Raw genomic sequence first — 24,347 nt, forward strand, 5'->3', positions numbered from 1 at the left:
ACTAGACCCATTGGTTTGTTTACTGCTCTCTAAACTTTACCTTCACTCTCTCTCTGATAATGTACAGCTCTGAATCTTTCAACCCAGTATAATGAATGAACAGACAGCAGATTTCAGGCAGATCTTTTTAACTCTTGACCATCGGGATATTTGCTTTAGCAGTGTGTGATGACGGAAAAAGACTTGGAGCCAGGCCATCTGGAAGCTAAAATATCATTACTCTGGGCAAGATTGAGTTTTAATCCTCTCTTATGTTGAAATGGGGATTAAAATATTAACTTCACAAGGTTAACGTGAAGATTAAGTGAGACGTGTATGTGAAAGGAGAGTTATATGGCTCCTGACACATGGTAGATATTCAATAAGTTATTTTCCTTCACTTAGAGTGAAATTTTCTAGAACAGCATAGAGTGTTGGCAGCTCTTCAATAATTTATCAGTAGCCTTTGTCCTCCTCTGGACAGAGACCAGTTAGGCACCAAGTACCCATAGAGATCTCCACCTACTGATGACCAAAAGTCTGCCTTTGATCTCTAATGCAACAATAAGGTGGGCAGAAACAGCCCCTGACAGATCACAATTTCCTATGACATAAAACAAGGCTCAGAGTCGGGCCCCTTTATCTTTAAGTGATGATGCCACTTTGGTCTGATACCACATTAGATTAGATGGATGTGTGATCTCCTACCAAGCACACAGGAAGATTGGCATCAACCTTTGCACTGATGATAGGGTTTATGAAGAACCAGGAGGCCCCAAAAAACTGTAAGTCCTGGTGCCTGGCTGTGTCAGAAATGCAGTCTTAACATCAGGTAGTTTCCTGCCTGCTTAGCCCTCAACCTCAACAGACGCCTGGATATCAAGAACCTTGCCTTAAGTCTGAGCCAAGTTGTCCCTCCAATTAAGGCAAGTCAGGGCAGGTATAGAGCAGCTGTTCCCAAATTCTTCAGAGTTCCCTACGGATCTTTCAAAGAATGGAGTACCTGGGACCCACTCCAGACCTATCCAAGGAAACTCTCCAGAGGTGGGCCCAGGAATTTGTAATTTTCAATAAGCTCCCCAGGGGATTCTTTCACAGCCAGACTGACACCGTTTGAGTCTGGAGGACAGAGGAACAGGTCCATCAAAGTCTATTCATATGAGAGTCGGTATAGGGAGTTTCCCAAAGTAATTAGTTCTGGTTATCTCACTTTGAGGAGGAAGAAAGTGAGAGTCATACTGAACATACTTAAGTTTAGAGAGAAGGATGTTTAGATTTGAAAATGTATTGTTTTGAGTAAAGGAGTTTAAGATAAATAAACATTTTAAATTTCTTTGTAGAAGCCAGTCCCAAGAATAGTTTTATTACTTCCCTAAGCAAGATAAAGTCAAGGAATAGAAGTGAGCTTCCCTACCACTGAATGAGTTTTAGGAGTAAACCGGCTGCTGAGAGTCAGCCACCACCCCAATGCGGTGACCTTGGGAGAAATGACACACACTTTGTCCTTGTGTCAGTGGCCCACATGTTGTGTGCATCTGCGAGGGTCTAAGGGGGTTAGCATATTGTGACATGTTTACACGTGGTCTGTGACATGGATTTATTGGCGATCTCATCTGTTTTTAACTAAATTAACCAATTAACAAGCATTCTAGAATACATACACTTGTTGTGTGTCTGAAAACAGAGAGAAAGGGAGAGAGATGGAGACAGAGAAAATATCCAAAGAATGAGCCCTGGCCCCAGTCGGGGCTTTGGAGGTTGGCATTCTGGGGCATTCTTGACAGATGACACCCTGAAGCTCAGCTCTTCTGCCCTGACTCTTCCTCAACAGAATCTTGGTGGTGGCTCAGGACAGCCAAGATGTCATCTAGGAGCAGGCATGGGCAATACACCCACAGCCGGCCACAGCCATCTCAGAGGATCCCAGACCTTAGACTGTCCTGTCCAGAGACTGAGGGCTGGGAGAGATGGAGAAAACAGTGCTTCTGTTTGAAGGATTTAGTGGACGGAGAAGCCCCATGGACAGAGAAGCAAATAAGTTATTTCAGCAGCCAAACTGAGACTTTGAGTATGAGCTATGGCCACTCACCTTGGGGGCAGTCAAGGCAAAGCTTCCTTTACAGCAGCCTAAGCAAATGCCTTCTGTGGGCTGGGGATCTCTGTGACCCTCCACATTTGTCCCAGGGTACTGGCTTGAGTGCCTAAGCTTTGCTAGGCAAGGTCTGTGTCTTGGGAAGAAGGAGATGCAGACAGCAGCCCAGAGCGTTTCAAGGGGCTTGTTGACAGTCTCTTAGGAGGTGTCTCTGGGGCTCAGATGGAACCTCGCCAAGCCCTCTCTCTGCATGCCTCCCCATCACTGCCCCCAGAGTGGGGGTGCATCCGTTGGTAACATGGGAGGTGATCATAGTGGTACCCAGGAGCCATTTATTGTTTTAATAGCTATGCATTTATTTTCACGTTTTTAAGAAGAGACTTAACTAGCATATCAAATCCTGATTTTGTGGATTTTATGTCTTAGAACAAGGTTAAAGGAAGTAATTAATTTAAAAAAGTGAGTCAGATTTAAGAAAAATATTAGGCCGGGCACGGTGGCTCACAGTTGTAATCCCGCTGAGGCGGTCAGATCACCTGAGGTCAGGAGTTTGAGTCCAGCCTGGCCAATATGGCGAAACCCAGTCTCTATTAAAAATACAAAAAAAATTAGCTGGACCTGCTGGCGTGCTCCTGTAGTCCCAGCTACTCAGGAGGCTGAGACACGAGAATCACCTGAAGCTGGGCAGTGGAAGTTGCAGCGAGCCTAGATTGCGCCACTGCACTCCAGCCTGGATGACAGAGCGAGACTCCATCTCAATAAGAAAGAAAGGAAGAAAGAAAGAAGGAAGGAAGGAAGGAAGGAAGGAAGGAAGGAAGGAAGGAAGGAAGGAAGGAAGGAAGCAAGGAAGCAAGGAAGCAAGGAAGGAGAGAGAGAGAGAAAGAGAGAAAGAAAGAAAGAAATTAAGTAAATAATGATACAGCTGGCTCAGGAATGATGCAAAAGTCATAAAGTATGGGGGAAAAAAACAACAGAAAACAAAAAACAAAAAACACGGCCCTAGATTAAACACATGAGTAATAGCCAAACAGCAGGCCATCCCGGAAGAGATGGAGGTGCTTTCTAGAAAGGACATGACCTAAAGGAGTGAAGTGTCACAGGTCCTGGGCCAGGATGGGGAAGGGGAAAACCTGCCCTTCAGCTTTCCTTCCTCCTGCAGCCTCATGCCTATCGCCTAGGCTGAAGAGCTGCAAAAAAAAAAAAAAAAAAGCAAGTGAAAACGATGATGATTTTGCCAATAATCATAATGTACTACTTTTGCAACCAAAAATATATTTTTTTAAGTAAGAGCGCTATTTCACTAAACTTCCCAGGGACATTGCCAGCGTGAGCTTTAGCAGCAACGTCAGGGGTGGGCAGGGGTCAGGGATCTTTTCCAGGCCTCCACAGGGTAGCCACTGCCCTGGCACCAGGGACCACAGGAGACAATGCCACACAGAGCCAGAGAGGGGCAATGGCCCCTGCCAAGAGTGGCCGGGAGACTGGTCCAAACATTGAATTTGAGACACTGGCTGGGGACCCCAGAACCGTCTGTGAGTGATTTGAAGGGAAGCTGCAATTCTCGCATGTTTGTTCCACCCTTAATTTTTTTTTTTTTTTTTTTTTTTTTTTGAGACAGAGCCTTGCTCTGTCACCCAGGCTGGAGTGCAGTGGCGCGATCTCTGCTCACTGCAACCTCCACCTCCTGGGTTCAAGCAATTCTCCTGCCTCAGCCTCCTGAGTAGCTGGGATTACAGGCACACACCACCACGCCCGGCTAATTTTTGTATTTTTAGTAGAGACGGGGTTTTGCCATGTTGGCCAGGCTGGTCTCGAACTCCTGACCTCAGGTGACCCACCCACCTCGGCCTCCCAAAGTGCTGGGATTACAGGCATGAGCCACCGCACCTGGCCCATCCTTAATGCTTTTAATTTAATTTTTGCGTGTGTGCTTTTTAATGGTCATATATGTTTGAGTATAAATACAAATATACTTTATAAATACATAAATATCAGAGTGCATGCGCAAAATTGTTTATTGATGGGAGGCGTGATCTAAAGAGTCTGGCAAGGGTAAGTCCACGTTCCTCACTAACTACTCCTGCCTTGGATTGCCGTCAATGTGTCCGCCGTGCAAACTGTGCCTCCCACACTAGATGCTGAGGGAGGATAGTCAGGGAGGTGTTGTGGAGACCTGTGCCACTGAGTTCAAACCACCTCATGCTGAAGTGGAGTCACTGGGGCCTAGAAGGTACCAAGGGGCCCAGGATCCTTGTGGGGAGCGGATATAGAGAGGGTCTTTGAAGTCTCTCAGTACTGGAATGAGCACAGGGCTTGCCTTCAGAGGAGTGTGTGCTGGAGCCCCAGCCCTGGGACACACCAGTTGCACAATCTCAGGTGAGCCACTCTGACCTTCCAGGTTGTCTTCCATAAAATGAAGAGGCTGGTGAGTGATGTATACCTCGTGCTATTGCTGTGAGAGTCACATGAAGTAATGGAAGAGGAAAAGGGCCTTGGGGAATCACAGAACATCTTCCTTCACCCAGGCAGCATCCCAGGCACAGGTTGCCCCACAGGCCTCCTGGGCTCCTAGGTCTGTAAAGACGGGGTGCCAGCTGGGGGAACCTAGGCCAAGGCCCCTGCCCAGACAAAGCCAAGTCTGGCTCAAGTGGGCCAGAGTCATGCACAGCCCAGGTGAGCTGGGCACTAGCACCCAGCCACTGACACCAACCATCAGCTGCCCCTGCCATCTGGAGACCCAAGGCAGCTTTGGTTCTCCGTTTATCCCCACCAGACCTTGGGCAAGAAGGTGGGGAGCAGAAACAACTGACACATACAAAGTGGCGGTCACCCATCCTGAGCACCCCCGCAGTCCTCCTGCCTCAAAGCCTCCATTTCACTCACTCTTCTAGCCCCCACCCTTGCTTCCTCATCATAAGTGCCGGCCGATGCATGCATGTTGCAGAAAATAGGATAAATCAGGGTTGCTTTGATTGGTTGCAAGTTCAGAGGCTTTGGGGTTTTGTAGATCTGCCCGAAGCATTGAAACACCTAAATACTTGGATGATTCCTCTCTCCTTTGTCACCTCTGCCACAGGGATGCATCTTGAATCCCAGACCCAGGACTTCCAAACCTTTGAGCATCCTTTGTAGAAAATGGCTCCAGTGACCTCCCCCAATCCATCCCCACCCTATCTGCAGAAGAGCTTATCTGGGGGCAGGGAAGATGCTTTGATTCATTCCATTCCCCTATTTCTGATTCTCATCCTTTAGTAAAGCAGGAGAGACAGAAGGGATTGCTCTGGGCTTTTGTGAAGATGTGTGAGGGAGGTAGAGGCAGGCTCATGTTTGCCTGTATGCAGAGCCAAGAAAGGACCAGTGGATATCGGAGGCATTGTCTTTTATTCTAACTGGTGGCACAAGAAGCAGAGAAACTATCCTATCCAGTTTTGTACAGACGATGCTATGCCTTGTATTGTTCTCTGTGGATTTATAACAAAGGCTGACATCCTGAAACAGATGGGAGTTTCTCACACTCAGGCACACAGCTTGCTCACCCACCCCTGGGTCTCCCACAAGCCAGCTCACTGCCTGGCACACAGGAGCCATTCGTGGATGCTGAAGTGAGCCATGAGGACAAGGCCATGCCTGATTCGGCACTATCCTAGCACAGTCTAACACAGCTGGATGCTCGGTTTTCTTTATTTGATTAAAGGCAACTTAAATTAGCGGCCACTTCTCTCCTCCCCATGCCCTGGATGAGACCCTCATATTGAACACCCAGCAGATCTTGCAAATCAGGGCTGAGTCTCAGCGATCCATTGCACTGGTGATAGCCTGAAATTGAGGTTAAACCCAGGCGAGAGCTCTCCCAACAGCCCAAGAAGGGGGTAACGGTGAGAACTCTCACTACAGTGCAGACAGTGTAACAAGGGCTGCCAGCTCCACCCCACCTGTGCACACCCTTACCATCAAAACACACCACAGGAAGGGGAGAATAACAAAGCCAGCCATGTCATCTGTGGTTTCACCTCTACAGTGACACATTTTCCTGTACTGGTGCCCCAGCAGGGCAATCTTAGTTTAGGTTGATACTAATACTAATACTAATACTAATACTAATACTAATACTATACTAATACTAATACTCTTGGGTTGATTGTGAACAAGAGACACGGGTGACGCAGGGAGAGTGCTAGGTGTGAGGTCCCACCTGCCAGGTGTCTGAATCATGAACCTTCTGCAGAGGGAACAGTACTGCCTGCCTCCCTAGAACATGGCGCTGATGACATGAGAGGTGTGAAAGTGCCTGGCAAAGAGCGGGAACTCTTCCACACTGTACATTGTTTAAAGCGGGAATAAGAGTTGCTGTCCAGGTTCAAAGGCAACTCTTGGAACAATGCGGGTAGCGGGTGCTCTTTGCATAAACACCATAGAAAAGGTCATCCCCACCCACGTCCCCCAACAGCTGTGCAGCTCTGCCTCCCTTTCCCCAGAGGAAAACTCAGACTCCAGTTTCCCGCGTCCGGCCTTCTACGGCTGCTCAGGACTCCAGGGGACAAAAGAAGGGCGAGAGGCAGGAGTGAGAGGGAAGTGGGTGGTTTGCTGCAAGCGGGGAGCTGCTGAGGGCAGGCTGGGGCCCTGCAGGGAAGCAGGGAGATTGTGGAAGATGTGTCTCCCACGCAGAGGAGGATTTGCCAGGAGGCCAACAAGCTAAGCTTCAAGCCGCTCACTTGTACGGACCCTTCCAAGTCCCTCTTCCTAAGTTTGTATTTATAATTTTGTATTCTTCATCTAAGAAAGCCTCAAAACTATGTAAGCCTCAGGCCCCCACAGAACCTGAGTCTGCCCTGGCTCCCACATAGAATGCTTCTCTCCTCTGAGATAAGCCCCTAGCTCTTCCCTAACGTGATCGCCTACGCCCCCTTCCTTCCAGCCACATCCCACGACCCCCACCTGGGCATTTCTCTGTCCAGCCAAACATAGGCATTGGCTTATAATGTGCCCCTGCCTGCCTCTCCTGGAACCTCTCAGCCTGGGGCACTCCTGCTCACCCTCCGAGACCCACAGCAAATACTTCCAACAATAGGAAGCCTTCTCCCAGGTCCCAGACAGAATCAACACTTCATCCTGGGTGCTGCCACCACGCTCAGCATGTCCCTCTGTCATAGCACAAATACCCCACAGGGGACTGCACTGTTGAAGGTCCACCTCCCAGCCTAGGCTGTGGTTCCTCCAGGGTCCAGACAGGCTTATCTGATTCTGTGTCTCCAAAGCCTACTAGCTCACAGCCGGGTCCGGTGGCTCACACCCGGAATCCCAGCACTTAGGGAGGCCATGACGGGTGGATTACCTGAGGTCAGGAGTTCAAGACCAGCCTGGCCAACATGGTGAAACCCCCATCTCGACTAAAAATACAAAATTTAGCCAGGCGTGTTGGCAGGGCGCCTATAATCCCAGCTACTTGGGAGGCTGAGGCCAGAGAATCGCTTGAACCCAGGAGGCAGAGGTTGCAGTGAGCCGAGATCATGCCGTTGCACTCCAGCCTGGGTGACAGAGCAAGACTCTCTAAAACACACACACACACACACACACACACACACACACACACACACACACAAAGCTTACTAGCTCAGGGCTCCCAGGTACAGGGCAAATGTTCCTTGAATAAATGAATTAACTGATGGCCTCAGCCAGGGACAATGGCAGAGTGACTGAAAAGGTCGGACTTCAGTCCTGGAGTCCCACCTGCATGGCTCCCATGCTCTGGCAACCCTTCCTTGGATTCCTTATTCAACTCCTCCAAACAGCAGTCCTGAGAAACCATTCCTGCAACCTGAGCGCCCTCTGGTGGCTGAAATGTTGCCTTCCCCCAAGAACTAGAGGCAACGGGTGGGGCCTTCCTTGGACATCCAGCATAGCTCTTTAATTCCCTAAAGCAATGTGTTTACAAGGCTCTTATTCACTTGGAGGCTCAAGTCCTACCATTTATGTTATTCTTTAGCCTGGAAGCTTTGAGAACTCATCTCATTCAAGGTCCCAAAGACCCCCACCCCAGCCCCTGTTCCTCTGACAGTGATGTGGTCTCCACATCTGCCTGCAAGGTCTCAGAGAGGAAAAAGAGGAGTTGGACCAAGACACAATCGCAAACACTGTAACCTCAAATGTTAAAATCCTGAAAGATTGTAATCTCTAAAGTCTAAACCCCTAACATCTAAAATCCCAAAAATCACAATCACAGGATCGTTTTTTGTTGTTTTTTTCCTTCCTTTTTCACTATTTTAAATTTTCAGCATGATTTTTTACAATTCCCTATGCTAGGTATTTCATCTTTGCATCATTTGCAAGACTGGAGGTATAAGTTATATAGACTTTTAGAGAGTTCGAATTTGTTTTATGCAGGGTTTTGGGGGTTTTTGGGATTTTTTTGTTTTGTTTTTTTGTTTGTTCTTGTTTTTTTGTTTGTTTGTTTGCTTGTTTGTTTTCAAATTTGGCTCCCTGAAAGTGCATTATCACCATGTCAACTTTGTGTGGACGCATTGTGCATGTACAGAAAAACATTGACATTTTCTCATTAGATAAAGAGATGTCCTTTCTGTACATCTGCCTTTGTGAAGTTAAATTTTCTTGGAATCTCAGCTCCTTGCAGCTTGGAATGCAGCTCCATGGATAGACAGCTGCATTTTTGGTGATGATCCATTGAAGTTTTTGATCAAACTCATCCAGAGACTTTGGTTGCTCATGCTGTTGTTTCAGATGACCAGTTATAAAGCTGGGTGCACACAAGTAACAACCACGGTGCCATGGATTTACATCTTGCCCTTTTTGACCTATTTCTTTATGAACATGGTTCATCTGCTCATAACTCTTATACCCATGCAACCGTCATTACCTGAGTGTTTATGCGTGCAAAAATATGTATGTTATCACTGCCTATTTTATTGTGTAATGTACACTATAAAGTGTCCTGTTGTGTTTTTATATGTTTCCAATATAAATCCCCTTTGAAATGTAAATAAATATGTTTTAATGAATGTTTTCATTATTTTTTCCAGAATTATATTTTCAGGATTTTTTTTTTTTTTTTGAGACAGAGCTTTGTTCTGTTACCCAGGCTGGAGTGCAGTGGCCCGATCTCTGCTCACTACAACCTCCACCTCCCAGGTTCAAGCGATTCTCCTACCTCAGCCTCCTGAGAAGCTGGGATTACAGGTGCGCGCCACCATGCCTGGCTAATTTTTGTATTTTTTGGTAGAGGCAGGATTTCACCAAGTTGATCGGGCTGGACTCAAATTCCTGACCTCAAATGATACATCTGCCTCAGCCTCCCAAAGTGCTGGGGTTACAGGCGTGAGCCACTGCGCCTGGCCTAATTTTTGGGATTTTGAACTTTCAGGATTTCAACATTCAGGATTGTGTCTTTTGGAATTATGATCAGCTCCAAAAAGGGAAGGCCGTCCCTGCCTCCCATGTCTCTGGTATGACATTCCTGTTTGTGGCTGCCAAGGCCAGTTTGGCAGCCTCTGAGTGGATCCCTCAAATTCCAGGGCCTCCAAGATATGCGGATTTTCTGCCAGGGTCAGGATGAACTATAGAGACCCCATCTTGCAGGAAGTCATGCGCTATTCCTGGTTTCCTAAGGACCCCACCAGCTGTTCCATTTCAACAGCCTTACTCACTCTATGCCACACCTGCCACCACCACCCCGGCCCTGCCACCTCCTACCAAGACATGCTTTGTTTGTGCTTTTTTGGCCTCTGCAGTGCTGAATTCATACCTGAATGTGATGTCTTTTGGTGGGGCATGTCTTCTCCTGGGGTCCCCCACTACTTGTTAAATATGTCTAGTCATTTCCCTTAGTTTCCCCTGGCTCTTGAAGGACTCTGAGTCGGAGACTCTACTCTATGCAATTCATTCTCATCCTCCTCTTCACACCAGCTCATGTCTGCCTACAAAACACCACCCAATAGCTGCTTCTTCTAGGAAGTCCTCCTTGGTTATTGATTCGATAATCATATACTATTCTTTTCCTACATAGGCCAGGCATCTGGAAATGGGAGAAAGAGCTGCAGACCTCTGGTGGAGAGAAAGAGGAGCTGAGATAGCACACAGTGACAGGTAATCTGTGCTATAAGAGGTAAACATGGGGGCTTGGAGAGCACTAGGGGAGATCCCAAAACCCAGATTTGAGGGTGATGCCAAGGAAGCATCCCTGGACTATGTGAGGTCTGTGATGAATTGTGAAGGATGGTCAGTAGTCAGTTGCCAAGCAGAGGAGGTGGTGAAGGAAGAAGAGGCTCTAGGCTGAAGGTGGACAGGTAGGAGAGATCACGGTTCCCTTAAGGTTCCATGTGGCCAGGTAGTGGCCGACGATCAAGTGGTGGATGGGGCAGGTCATGGAGGTCTTGCCGCTTCTCAAGGAGAGGCGGGATTCTATTGGCCCCTGAGAGGCTCACTTGGGCCAGGGTTGGGACATGCTGGGAGTAGCGAGCCCAGGCTAAGGCGGCCCTCCAGGCAGCCAGAAGGGTCATCCTGGAGAGATGATGGGAGCCTGACCCAGGGCAAGGGACAGGGGAGAGGTGGATAGGACATCAGGAAGGGAGGGTCAGCAGAACTGGGGATCAATTGGAGGTAGTAAGTTAGGGAGAGAGGGGAGGCCTGGTGACTCCTGGGTGTTGATTAGGCAACAGGGTGGATGGCAATGCCACTGATCAAAATGGGGACATGCAGGAAGGCAGTTCCATCGTCCTGTTGAGCTCAAGGTACCTGCCAGACCCCACGAGGAGATGTCCATGGGGCAATAGAGATGTAGGTTTAGAGCTCAGGAGGGTCCCCTGGACCAGAAAGCTGAATTTGGGAGATATCAGCACCCAGGTGATAGGTGTAATCGCAGAAGGGGATGAAATCCCCAGGAGGAGAATAAAAGCAAGAAAAAGAGAGGGCCACAGAGGAACCCCTCGGGAACACCAACATACAAAGTGGAGATGACGGAGAAGATCCAGACAGGGAAGGACAATCACGGTGTGAGAAAGGCTCCAGGAAGACAGGCCAATTCTGCAGAGAAGGCAAGCGAGATCATTTAACACCATTTGCAGAAGTAGCAACGGAGGTCATCAGTGGCCTCTGCAAACACAGTTCCAGTGAAATGAAGGGAGCAGAGGCCAGACCACCGAGGGGTGTAGAGTGGATGGAGGTGCAAGGAGGTGGTGAAGAAAGGAGAAAAATAGCCAGGCCACACATTTCCATGAGAACTGGAGGTGACAAAGGTTGGCCGCTCACTCCCCAAGCTGAGTGGTGAGGGGAAGGAAGAAGGTCTGGCCACAGGGCGAGAGCAGCCGGAAGCCTCAAGGGAAAGCGGTGCATTGGAAGAAGGGAGATGTGGGCATAGCTACCTGCTGGAGAAAGGGCGACACTGAAGGCGCAGAAGGAACTGCCAACTGGTGCTCTCTTAAGAAGGAGGAATAGAGTTCAGAAGGCTTTGAAGGGATAGAGACAAACCTTCCTGGAAACCAAAGTGCACTCAGGAAGGGTCTGGGTGTAGTTATGTGTATGGGAGTGGGAAGGATAAGGAGAGGCAAGACATGAGGCATTCCTATCTGAGGATCTCTGCTTCCTCTGTGCAGTAGGAGGTCAGAGCATCTGATGAGAGCATTGGGGGAGGGGAGTCCTGATGGGGACCTTGAAGAGGACTCTGAAACATGAACAGAGCCACTGTGGGGAAAGAACTGACCGTGGGCATCTAGATGACACACTGCTGGGGGTGGGAGACTCCGCTGGGCGCTGGAGGCAGTGCCGTTGCTGTGGTCACTGCTCTGTGGCCAAAGGACTTTTCAGCACCCAGGTGCAGGGGTGATGTGGGTGGATGGCTGGCCTGCCCCAGGGCTGCAGTGTTGCTGGCCAGGTGTGGGAGAAGAACAAGGATGAAGGTATTATATTTGCAAGTGAGTGGTATGTTGAGGGGATTCGCCTCGGAGGCTGAAAGCAAAGCCAGGAAGGAGCTGATGAAATGAGAGAAATCGGAGGTGTGATGAGAGAAATTGGAGGTGTCGGGAGCTGGGATTCTTTATGAGGCAGACAGCAGGCGGAATGCAGGCACGAGGGTGGAAAGGCTGGAAGGATGGCAGCGCAGGACTGGAGGATGACTGACCAGAGACTGAGCTTGATGATGCCAAGAGGCAATTTTTGTGGAATGAAACACAAACAGACATTATCGTTCAAAGTAAACGATGATATTCATCTCCAGTTCATCCAAGCCTATAATTTGATACCTGGCTGCAGGGTAGGGTAACCGCAGGCAGGGGATTAAACTCTGTTGACCCTGTGACCTAGTTGACATAGGGTCATACTGACAGCTAATTAATTGTCCTGCCTAATTAGAGCAAGTTTTGTAATTGTTTTAAAAATTTGTCTCAGGTCCCCGTGGCCTGGGGGCTGGTCACCCTGTTGTGGGACTGTTCTGCTGGGCCAGGAGAGCAGGGTCCCTGAAGCGGAGCATGCATTGGCTGCCACACACCTCTCAGGACTTCCCTGCAGCCCCCACGGTAATTGGCTGTCTCCTCTTCCTGGGCTCACCCCTCCTTGCACTGAGCTTTCTCTCCTCCTATCCCAGTCTCAGGTTCAGTATTCACCCCAGGGCCAGGAGTGTGGGGAAGGGGCTAGAGCTGCACATGGACCCAAGGCGGGAGGGGCGCAGGCCTGGGCAGGTGGGCAGCTTTGGACGAGGGACCAGCAAGCAGCTGCAGCCTGGGCACAAGAAGAAATGACGGGGCGAGGAATGGGGTGCGAAACCACAGGGTGAGAGGCACGTGCCTGGGACCAGGCTTGGAGTAGAAGCGAAACCAGAAATCCAGTTGTAAGCACAAGAGAAAAATCAGAACCTCAGGGAACTCAGGGCAGGTGCCTCTCTATCAAAGGAGGGGCAGTGCAGACTGGGAACCAAAAACCCAGGGCACCCATCTGGACCCGAGGGCTGCGGCGCAGAGCACGTCCTGCCTCCAGGCCAAACTGCTCTGGGAGATGACCAAGAGCCCAGCTCGGGGGGCCTGGGGAAGGAATGGGGTGGGAGCTGTCCTTCTGCAGAACAGGAAGCCACAGCTTCAGAGCCTCTCCCCACCTTCCTATCCCTAAAGCAGCAAGTGCTTCTGAGGCTTTGCTGGTAACTACAGAGAAGCAGGAGAGAGGTCAAAAAGGGCAAGAGGGGCAAGCGACAAATGCATCAGAAACGTCCCCAGAGCGTGGTGACAGAGCTGGGGGAGGCCTCCCACCAGGCCAGGGTCTTGTCCAGAGACAGGGACCATCCCAGTTCCTCCACACTTGGGTTTGTCCCACACTGGCGTCTGCACACAGCCTCAGTGTGAGTCACCAGGCACTGCCGGCACCTACCCCAACATTAGGTTCTGCAGAGGCCAGAGTGTGTGATTGAGAACATCTTCAAGCTCCCGGCCATCCTGTAGAGGAGTTATAACCTGGGGGGCGTGGGACTTCCTATTCACAGTAAATATCATCCCATGACACTGCTCCGATGTGAGAAGTCTCTAGAAGAGGGAAGGTCACATGAAGAACGCTGTCACCTGTGATGCCCAGGCATGGGGGTGGGGGCAGTTCTCAGTCTGGGAGGGGAAGTGGTGCCCCTCACTCCTCACACAGGTGCTGAGAGGAGGGAAGAGCACCCAGCATGGAGCCCACAGCCCTGCAGGGGTCTGGGCTCTGCCACTCACCGAGGGCTCACCTCTTACTTGGAACATGAGCAGCCTCATAGACACATCTCAGAGTGCAGAATGTGTGGAAGGTCTCTGCCAACTGTGAAGCATGACACACAAGTTGGCTGCTGTTGTTAAAAACCCAAGAGCACGCAACACGCAACAGGGGCTCTGGGGCCCAGGCAAGCAACTAACTGATAGGCCTTGGGGTGCCCTGGGGTCCGTCAGGATCCTTCAGTTTCAGCAGGTCTTCCCACATAGCTCTACCTCCATTCATTTGCCGCCTTACCTGGAAAAGCAGCCTGGAATCCCAGAGCCCTGCCTCACTCTGAGCCCAGATGAAACCCCAAACTGCTATTCCAAACCACCATATCTGAGACACAGGGTGAGGTGCTCAATCCTACTGGATAAACTTGTCTAGAATTCCGGCTCCCACGCCGGCCTAGGGATCAGAGGCCTCCCACTCCCTCCGTGACAGGGAAGATAAGTACCAAAGCAAGCTAGGAACCTAGAGGCAGGGAATGATTAGCATTTTATCTCATAGCCTTGAGCCTGGGAGTGAGTGGAGGCTGTACTGCCCTGGCAGACACACCTGCAGACCCACCTGTGAGGGCCCAGGAGGAGAGGAGTCTGAGTGGGGTGCCAGGAGGCAGCCAGGGCTGTGCCCAAGCCCAGTCCCTTTATCAAAACCCAATTCCCGCGCTCTAGGGGCTCCCTCAAGCCGTATCTACTCACATGCCTCTCCTCCAGGTCCCCCACCCATGTGGCCTGCCTAGAGTCTCTGCCCAGAGCCCAGACCACTCCCCATCCCACCACCTCTCAGGTGAACGGGGATGGGGTAGGAGGCTGTGGTCTTTCTCCCCTGACAAGAGTCTCAGCCCCACTTCCCATGCTGTGAGTGTGAGCACCCACTCCCACCTCCCCACACACCTCTTGCAATTATAATAGCTCTTGGTGCTAATGAAAGTGCTGGGAAATACAAAATCAGGTCTACTGGCATCGGAAGGCATGAGTCAGGGTTTTGCTGCAGTCTGTTTCGATTCAGCCTTTTCTTCCCAGGCCGGCAGCGAGGGCAGGACAGGGGCCAGGCAGCCCTGGGAAGCCTTAGTGGTGGAAACCCAGGGACAGCTGCCATGCTCACCTGGGAGACTGTCCTTGGCCGCCTTTCTTCTAGGCTTAGCATCCTGTGTTCCTCTGGACCCCCGGGGGTCTGGGAGAGCAACTGCAAATGGCTGTCTGGGACCCCCTTCTACAGAGTCCAGGGTGTCCCTCTGGCTGTTCCCCTCGCCACCCCTTCCTCTAATTCCCTGCCAGCTCCAGGTTCCCTGGAATGCTGGTTCTAATCTGGCTTCCAAGTCTCTCTTACCAGCCAGACATGGGTACTCCCATCATCCCTCCCACATGGCTGCCCTCATCCTTTGGATCCCCAGGCAGACACCCACCCTGGCCCCCTTTTAATTTTCCTTTTTTGATCTATAAGTAAGAGAGGGACAGAGAAAGCACTTCCAGGCTGCCCCTCTCCAGCCCTGTGACCTCACATCACAGTGTCCTGGTTGCAGGTTGAGGAACTCCAGTGGGAGGCGTCCAGGCCAGCAGAGGCTCCCAGAGGCACCGCTTCTGCTGAGTCACCCATTCTAGCATATGGTCGTGGCCCTGCTTGTTCCAAAACGGGACACCTTGCACTGCCACTCGTGACAGACACATGACACCCACAGTGGGAGTGATTGAGAGGCTATAGACAGGCCAAGGCGCAAGCCCAGCATCATTTTCAACCCCGCCTCTTCCAAGAAGGGAGGTGATTAAGACTCCAAGCTTCAGCTGCAGAGAGACCCAGCTTCAAACCCCAGTTCTGAGAGTGTTTCCCTGTAGGTGAAATGGAGAAAATAATGCCCACCTCACAAGATTGAAAAGATTGGATGATCGATTCACAGAAGGCATTTAGCAAGTTCTCCCTCAATAAGTGGCATTTCTAGCTACTTTTATGCCAATGTATTACATTTTTTAAGTAGTAAATTATTTCAGGGACTAGAGTGGCAGGTCCCCAGCTGGAGCTACCTTCTTCTTGGCATTAGTGCTCCAGGGAAGCAGAATCAGTAACTAAGTTACCAGACGAACACCGTCGGATCAAAGGAAGTGGGAGGGGTGGGGGATACTTCACCTGAGCCCTGGGAAAACCTCACAGATCCTGCTGGCCTCCACAGAGGCAACCTCTGTTAAGCAGAACCTGCTTATGTTCCCCACAGCCCTTCCTGCGACCTGGGCTGCTGGACACCGATTAGCTTGGATCTACGGGGCCCATTTCCTCTGCACCCAGGACCGCTCTTTGGTGACTCTTTCACTAGATATGATGCTAGACAGAGCCAGCATCAAGCCTCTGTCCCCATTATGAGTTGACTTCACAAAACCAACCCTCCCTGCTCAAGGGATTCCCACTTTTGCAGCCCACAGCAAAAGCATTGGCGTGTAAGTAACAATGCCACCTACCACATGGGGCAGAACCCCACCAACTGCCTCGGTCCAAGTTCATTACAACTCAGTCTCCCCTTGGAATTGGAAGGTCCTTGACCTCCCACCAACTAAGCTTCCAATTTTGTTTCATCAAAAATGAAAGTGGGGCCAGGTGCAGTGGCTCATCCTTGTAATCCCATCCCTTTAGGAGGCCAAGGCAGGTGGATCACCTGAGGTCAGGAGTTCAAGACCAGCTTGGCCAACATGGCGAAATCCCATCTCTACCAAAAATACAAAAATTAGCTGGGCGTGGTGGTGAGTGCCTGTAATCCCAGCTACTTGGGAGGCCGAGGCAGGAGAATCACTTGAACCCTGGTGGTGGAGGTTGCAGTGAGCCAAGACTGTGCCATTGCACCCCAGCCTGGGCAACAGAGCGAGACTCCATCTCAAAAACAAACAAACAAAAGTGGGTCAAGAGAGGCACCCCTGAGCTAATACATCAAGTCAGGCTTCCCTTCAGTTCACAGGGGCCAAGACCACAGGCCAGCCCAGCTCCTCTCCAGGCCCTGCTGGAAGGCTCCTTCCCGGCCAAAGCAAAGGTGACAACTGCCTCTGATGCTTCTCAAAGACCAGCTGGGAGTCAACAATGGAGACAGGTGGTTCACTTGGGCTCTGGCTTCTTCCATTTGCAACGGAGAACAGGGCATGTGGATGGGGAAAGAAGGAACCCAGGACAAGGGCTTCATCCCTCCCAACCCTCTCCTGGCCCTCCCTCCACACCCCTGCACCCTTGCCTTCTTTGTGTCTCTGAGTTTCTGCCTCTTCGTTGACTTCCATCTGTTTTTCTGTTGCCTCTTTTATTTTCTCTCTCTCTTAATTCTGTCAGAGGCATGTGAATCACAGCAATTCCAGCTTGAATAGGAGCTGGGTAAAATAAGGCTGAAACCTACTGGGCTGCATTCCCAGACAGTTAAGGTATTCTAAGTCACAGGAAGAGATAGGAGGTCAACACATGATACAGGTCATAAAGACCTTGCTGATAAAACAGGTTGCAGTAAAGGAGCTGGCCAAAACCCACCAAGACCAAGATGGCGACAAGAGTGACCTCTGGTCGTCCTCACTGCTGCACTCCCACCAGCGCCAAGACGGTTTACAAATGCCATGGCAAAGTCAGGAAGGTATCCTATTTGGTCTAAAAAGAAGAGGCATGAATAATCCACCCCTTGTTTAGCATATCATCAAGAAATAACCATAAAAATAGGCAACCAGCAGCCCTCGGGGCTGCTCTGTCTATGGAGTAGCCATTCTTTTATTCCTTTAGTTTCTTAATAAACTTGCTTTCCCTTTGCACCGCAGACTTGCCCTGAATTCTTTCTTGGGTGAGATCCAAGAACCCCCTCTTGGGGTCTGGATGGGGACCCCTTTCCTATAACACTTCTACTCTTCTTTCTGTTTCTTTCAGTTGATGATTTTCTGCTTACCTTTCTACTCTTTCTGTTTACTGTCTCTCTCGTCTGCATTTTTCTGTCTTTATTTCTAAATCTTCTTTACCCTCTTCATGTTGAATCTTTTTGCCTATTGTGGTAAATATATTTGGTCCTCAGCCCCATTTCCTGGCATACAACTCCTAAAGTCCTTAGAAACTCCAAAGGTTGTCTTTTTGTGTGCTAATGAGCTGACTGAGGCCTGGAAGGGCCTAGGTGGCTTCAGGTAGATCAGGGGCTGATCACCAGAAAGCCCAAGGCAGGATTAGAAGGTTGGGTTTTAAGCCCCACCCCTAAACTTAGGGGAGGGGAGAGGGGCTGGAGGGTAAGTTGATCACCAATGGCCCGTGGCTTAATTAATCATGCTTATGTAACGAAGTCTCCATAAAAGCCTAAAAAAGGACAGGTAGCTGAACAGGTGGAGGTTTCCAGAAGGGGACCCGACTCGGGAGGGCATGAAAGCCCCGTGTCCCTTACCCCATATCTCACCCTACGTATCTCTTCTTCTGTATCATTCGTAATATCCTTTATAGTAAACCTGTAAAGGTAAGTGTTCTCCTAAGTTCTCTGAGTCACTCCAGCAAATGAGGGAGTTGTGGGAACCCCAAATGAAGAACAATTGGCTAGAAGGTCCAGAGGCCTAGATTTGTAACTGGTGGGAAGGGAGTTGCGGTCTTGTGGCACTGAGCCCTCATCAACCATAGGATCTGTTGCTATCTGGTAGATAGTGTGGGAATTGAGTTGACTCGAAGTGTCAGCCAGTGTCTGCTGCAGAAATGATTGCTTACTGGTGTGTGGGGAGAACCCCCAGGCATTTGGTCACAGAAGTCTATTGCGTTGATGATTGTGGCGTGAGAACCAAGGGGAAAATTGAGTTTGAGTTTTTTCCTAACACACCAATCTATATCACTCTTCTTTTCTCTTGCAAAGAAAAAATTTTAAATGGGAGATCAGATAGGCACCAATCTGCCATTGATTTCATACACTGTGTTCCCCATCCACATGGACCCCAAGGTCCCACCGGAGGTTCAGGTTGGCGGTTCTGGGTGTCATCCTCAGAGTCATCACTAATACTAAAGGGTTTTGTTTGTTTTCTTTTTAAGAGAAGAAATCTCCCTATGTTGCCCAGGCTGGCTTCAAATTCCTGGGCTCAGGATATCCTCTTCCCTCAGCCTCCTGAGTAGCTGGGACTACAGGCATGTGCCATCGTGCCTGGCTTTTGTTATTGTTATTTGTCTGTTTTTTCAGGGGTGGAGATTTTTTGTTGTTTTTTTCATCACTATTATTATTATTATTGAGACAGGTTCTCGCTTTGTTGCCTAGGCTGGAGTGCAGTGGCAAGATCTTGGCTCACTGCAACCTCTACTTCCCGGGTCCGAGCCATCCTCCTACCTCAGCCTCCCAAGTAGCTGGGACTACAGGCATGTGCCACCACGCCTGGCTACTTTTTGTAATTTTTAGTAGAGATAGGGTTTCGCTATATCACCCAAGCTGGTCTCATATTTCTAGACTCAAGCGATATACCCGCCTGGCGGAATTGTGCTGGGATTACAGGCGTGAGCCACCATGCCCAGCCTTCATCACTAATATTAAACGCTAGCCTTCTCTGGGTCAAGCCCCGAGTGGGCTCTGAGTCAAGCACACCCTGCCCTGGAGTGATCCAGATATCCCAACTCAGAAATGACCAGATAAGGCCAGAATGCATATTCCTGTCCTAAAGCGTGGCCCTGTAGAGCCCTTCTGCGTGGTCAAACACCCGTCCCTCCCCAGCCTAGGCAGCTGCACAGCGCCCAAACCTGCCCTGCCCCACCTGCTTCTCCACTGCATTTCACTTTGCTTATCTCAGCATCCGATTACAGCAAGGACACTCCCAGCCTAATCTGGCTTTCCCAAAGCTTTGGCCTAGAGCACCGTGAAGAGGTAGCCTTGTCACGTCCATGATGGCTCACAGGAGGAGGAAGACAGGGTACCTGCATTTTGAGTGGTTTTGCAAAAGTGAAATATAGAGAGTGATCATGAGGCAGGAGAATAGGGCCTGGAGGCAGGGAACCTAAGGCCAATTCATACTGACTTCCTAGAACTAAATCAAAAGGAAAACCCCAACTTTCACACCTTCCGTCGCTGGCCAACTTTTCTTTTGCATAGGAGTATAACTTTGTAACTTCACTTTAGCCTCTGGTCACTTTCCACAGGCGAATCAGACATTTGCATAGGGTGTAACTTTGTAACTTCACTTCAATCTCTGGTTGGTCTCTCTCCACAACCAATCAGACTGATTGTGGTCCTCTACTTCATTTACATAGGGTGTACACTAAGTAATCAATGGGAAACCTCTAGAGGGTATTTAAGCCCCAGAAAATTCTGTACCCAGTCCCTTGAGCTTCTTGTTCAGCCCACTCCCACCCTGTGGAGTGTGCTTTTGTTTTCATTAAATCTCTGCTTTTGTTGCTTCATTATTTTCTTGCTTTGTGCGTTTTGTCCAATTCTTTGTTCGAAGCACAAAGAATCAGGACACCCTCCACTGGTAACAATCAGGGTCTGATACCTGGGATGCAGCACCCAGTGACCAGGCTAGAATCAGGAGGTCTGGACAGAGGACACCATTACTGCCTGATTTACTCATCATGACCATGACCCAGCCCGCTCGCTCACCTGGGCCCTGCTGGGGAAGAGGGGGCTGCAGCCCCAAACCAGCCACAGGACCCCCCGGACGTACGACCTCCACCCAGGGCTCTCCCTGGCACCTCTGACTCAAACTGTTCAGTCCCAGACTCTTCACCTTTCTCCCCAAACCCACCTCTGTTTGCCACCTTGGTAGGTGGTACTATTATTTGCCTAATCCCCCAGACACCTGGAAATACCCCGGGATTGGATCTCTTCGCCCTTGTTTTCCAAATCTAGTCAGTCACCAAGTCCAACGTGCATGTGAAATTGCTCTGCCCTCCTGGCTGCCCTACCCTGGGTTTGGGATCTCATCTCTCACCTGGACCGCTGCATGAGTTCCCTACTATTCTCTCTACCCCAGGCTCTCCATCCACACAGCTACCAGAATGATCTTTCAAAATAAAACAAAAACAAACAAGTCATCCTCCTGCTTAAACTCCTACTGGCTCCTTATTACCTAGAGCTGTGGTCTCCAAAGTTCTTTGATCTCTGTCAGTAACAAAAGAATTTTAGCACACATCTCTAATATATGTATTTATGTATAAATTATATTTACATACATTACCATCACTAGCCAATATCTGAAGGCATAATACACCCTGAAAGACAGAGTAGTACTAACATCAGGAGACTTGAGACTATACTTCAAATTATCTTAGCCGGGCATGGTGGCATGCCTGAGTCCCAGCTACTCAGGAGGCAAAAGGATCACTTGAACTGAGGAGATCAAGACTGCAGTGAGTCGTGATCCTGCCACTGCACTCCAGCCTGGGTGACAGAGTGAGACCTTGACTTAAAAAAAAAAAAATCAAAACATTATCTTGATAATTCTGGATTTTTTTTTTTGCCAGTTTCTATCAAGTAAAATGAGATTGTTACAATTTTACACTCAAGATAGAAAGATAATGGGAGCCCCTTCCGAATAGGGGAGCAAGAGCCTGGCCATTTGCTTGTGCTTGCCTGCATCCTTCTCTTAATCCCTGATATCTTTTCAGGAAATTTCCTAAATACCTTGTCCATTGTGTGAGGATTAATTTAGTTAAAACCAGATGAGATCACCGAGAAATCCACTTCACAGACCATGTGTAAACATGTCACAATATGCTAACCCCCTCAGACCCTCGCAGATGCGCACAACATGTGGGCCATTGACACAGGGTCCAAGTGCAGACACGAGGCCAACCTGTACATTAAATATTACAAATGCACCAGGTGCGGTGGCACGTGCCTGTAGTCACAGCTACTCGGGAGGCTGAGGCAGGAAGATCATTTGAGTCCTCACTTGAGTTCTGGGCCTCGGTTTGCTATGCTCATCAGGTGTCCACACTAAGTTCAGCATCAATATGGTGACCTCTTAGGAGCAGGGGGCCACCTGGTTGCCTAAGGTAGGGTGAACTGGCCCAGGTGGGAAATGGAGCACCTCAAAACTCCCGTGCTGATCAGTAGTAGGATCATGCCTGTGAATAGCCACTGCACTCCAGCCTGGGCAGCATAGCGATACCCTGTCTCTTAAAAAAAAATTGGCTGGGTGCAGTGACTCATGCCTGTAATCCCAGCACTTTGGGAGACCAAGGCAGGCGGATCACCTGAGGTCAGGAGTTCAAGACCAGCCTGGCCAAGATGGTGAAACCCCGTCTCTACTAAAAATACAAAAAATTAGCCAGGTGTGGTGGTGCGCCTATAGTTCAACTTCTCGGGAGGCTGAGGTGGGAGAATCGCTTGAACCCGGGAGATGGAGGTTGCAGTGAGCCGAGATCACGCCATTGCACTCCAGCTTGGGCAACAGGAGTGAAACTCCATCTCAAAAAACAACCACAAAACAACAACAAACATATATATATATATATATATATATATATATATATATATATATATATGAAAAGTTTAGTTGTTTTCTTTGTTTTTAGTTAAGAAATACACAGAAATAGAAGTTTCTCTATTTTTTCGCTATCCCAATGGTTTGTCTTGCATAATTTCTGGGTACAAGAACTCTAGTTTAGGGGCTTCCAGTACATAAGGTCTGTGTCCAAATTCCTTACCTGTGTACAGATCCTTCAAAAGAAAATGTCTATTGCAAGAGTTTCTCATAACTGGAGCCATGTATGATTCATCTCCCCGGTCCCAGCACCAAGCTGCCACAGAAAGGATGCTCAGTATCTGTGGGTCAGTCACCATTTCCCCAGCGCACACAGCCTCCTCTCTGGACTGGATGCTCTTCCTCCCATTGCACCCCTGGTTTTCCACCTGACAAAGTCCTGCTCCTCCCCGTAAGCTCAATCCAAATGCTCCCTCCTCGGGGAGGGAGCCCTCCGGCTCTGTGTGCTCTTTCCTCTTAGAGTTTGCCAACAGGATGACAGCACGATCTCTGTGTCGAGTCTCCCTCCCGGCCTGTGAAAGAGCTGCGGACAGCGCCTTATTCATCTTTGTGTCCTCAGTGTCCAGCACACTAGAGGCGCTCGTAAACGTTGGATGAAGGAGAGGCTTTTACAGAGACGGGGGTGAGGCCAAGAGACAGTCTGGGCCCAAAGATTTCAGTTTCAAGAACTTTCATTCTCAGCCTGAACCCACCCCTCTGCAGGCAGCCTGGGGAATGAGCTGGGGCAAGGATGAAGGAGGGAGGCTGAGGGAGGGTGAGCCAGGATGGTACCTGCATGTGGAACCTCACAGCGCTGTTTCCTGCTGGCCTTTCAGGCTGCAGATGAAATCTACTGGGAAAAGCGAGAAACCCGGGGTAGCGGAGTGACCTTCCACCACCTGGCGGCACTGTGTCTGCATTCTCGGCCACCCCACAGAGGCCCAGCGGCATCCAGGAGCCGTGGTCTCTCCCCACGCATCACTCCGTGGCCAGAAGCACTCAGTCAAGCCAGAGCCACCAGCATTATCAATACATTATCATCCGTGGGATTTGGCAAGGCCTAACCACGACGATCTAAAAGCATTCTCTCTTCCAACAGGTTCAACCCAAAGAACTCATTTGTTAACGGACCACCATTGACTCATCACCCTAATGGAAAACTGAATCATCCCCAGGTCTTCCCCCCGTCAGTCCTCTCTATTCTGCATCAGCAGCATCTGTGAATGCCAGCACCCCAGCATCCCACACTGCACCTGTGCTCTGGGTCTGCCTGCCAAGTACAGGCTGTGAGGTATCGGGCCACCCCCTCAGTTCCCTCATCTGTAAGATGGGAACATCAACACTTTGTTTGCAAGGTTATTAGATATCTTATATATGCACAACACAGAGTAGAATGTCAGTAAATAATATTCGTCTTCCTTTTCTTCGTCTTCATGCCGGTAGACCAGGCCTTAATTAAGATCTTCTCCATCTCTTGCCTGAACTATTGGCACTGTCTCTAACCCCCTCTCCCTGCCTCGCCCCCACACTACTGCCAGAATTATCTTCCTCTGTGGCAGGAGTTATGTTTTAAACCAAAGTCACTCTACCAACATTTACACACCTTTCGTTTGCCAGTCACTGTGCTGGTGCCACAGATATAAATAAAGGAGAGATCTCCCAGGGAGCTCAGTACAGGGGCTTCATATATGCTTTAGAGACTGTTTTAGTTAGAATACTGCCATGGCTTCAGCGTGTGTCCCCAAAAGCATGTGTCGGAAACTTAATCTCCAATGAATAGTGTTGGGAGGTAGGGCCTAAGGAGAGGGTATTAGGCCACGAGGGCACAGTGAATGTATTATTCTGTTATCTTGGGAGCTGGTTCCCTATAAAAGGATAGAAAGAAGTTCATACAAGGCCAGGCGCGGTGGCTCGTGCCTGTAATCCCAACACTTTGGAAAGCCGAGGCGGGTGGATCACCTGAGGTCAGGAGTTCGAGACTAGCCTGGTCAACATGGCAAAACCCCGTCTCTGCTAAAAATACAAAATTAGCCAGGGGTGGTGGCAGGCACCTGTAATCCCAGCCACTCGGGAGGTTGAGGCAGGAGAATCACACAAACCAGGAAGGCGGAGGTTGCAGTGAGTCGAGATCATGCCATTCACCAAGG

The 24,347-nt window shown here is 49.6% G+C and overlaps 1 protein-coding gene and 1 pseudogene across 5 annotated transcripts in view, besides 1 other annotated feature; one reads left to right on the top strand and one right to left on the bottom strand.

Moving 5' to 3' along the window:
* SMIM35 (small integral membrane protein 35) overlaps nucleotides 1-24,347 on the bottom strand; it is an 83,330-nt gene that overhangs the window by 42,051 nt on the left and 16,932 nt on the right. For 2 of the 5 annotated variants that reach the window (XM_024448283.2, NM_001354434.2), the window contains exon 2: nucleotides 13,433-13,584. The exons of the other annotated variants lie outside the window; for them this stretch is intronic. In XM_024448283.2, coding sequence (XP_024304051.1) covers nucleotides 13,433-13,554 — 122 coding nt within the window. In that variant the 5' untranslated portion in view covers nucleotides 13,555-13,584. The remainder of the gene's footprint in view (nucleotides 1-13,432; nucleotides 13,585-24,347) is intronic. 5 annotated transcript variants of the gene reach the window in all.
* Nucleotides 18,908-19,409: an enhancer, noted in NCBI's record as "H3K4me1 hESC enhancer chr11:117935307-117935808 (GRCh37/hg19 assembly coordinates)". NCBI's record gives its function as "activates a minimal SCP1, AML or CMV promoter by ChIP-STARR-seq in naive H9 embryonic stem cells {active_cell/tissue: H9 hESC(naive)}" and the evidence as "EXISTENCE:reporter gene assay evidence [ECO:0000049][PMID:30033119]".
* On the top strand, nucleotides 21,554-21,855 carry RN7SL828P (RNA, 7SL, cytoplasmic 828, pseudogene; annotated as a pseudogene).

Source organism: Homo sapiens, chromosome 11 (genome assembly GCF_000001405.40).
Source record: "Homo sapiens chromosome 11, GRCh38.p14 Primary Assembly".
NCBI lineage: Eukaryota > Metazoa > Chordata > Mammalia > Primates > Hominidae > Homo > Homo sapiens.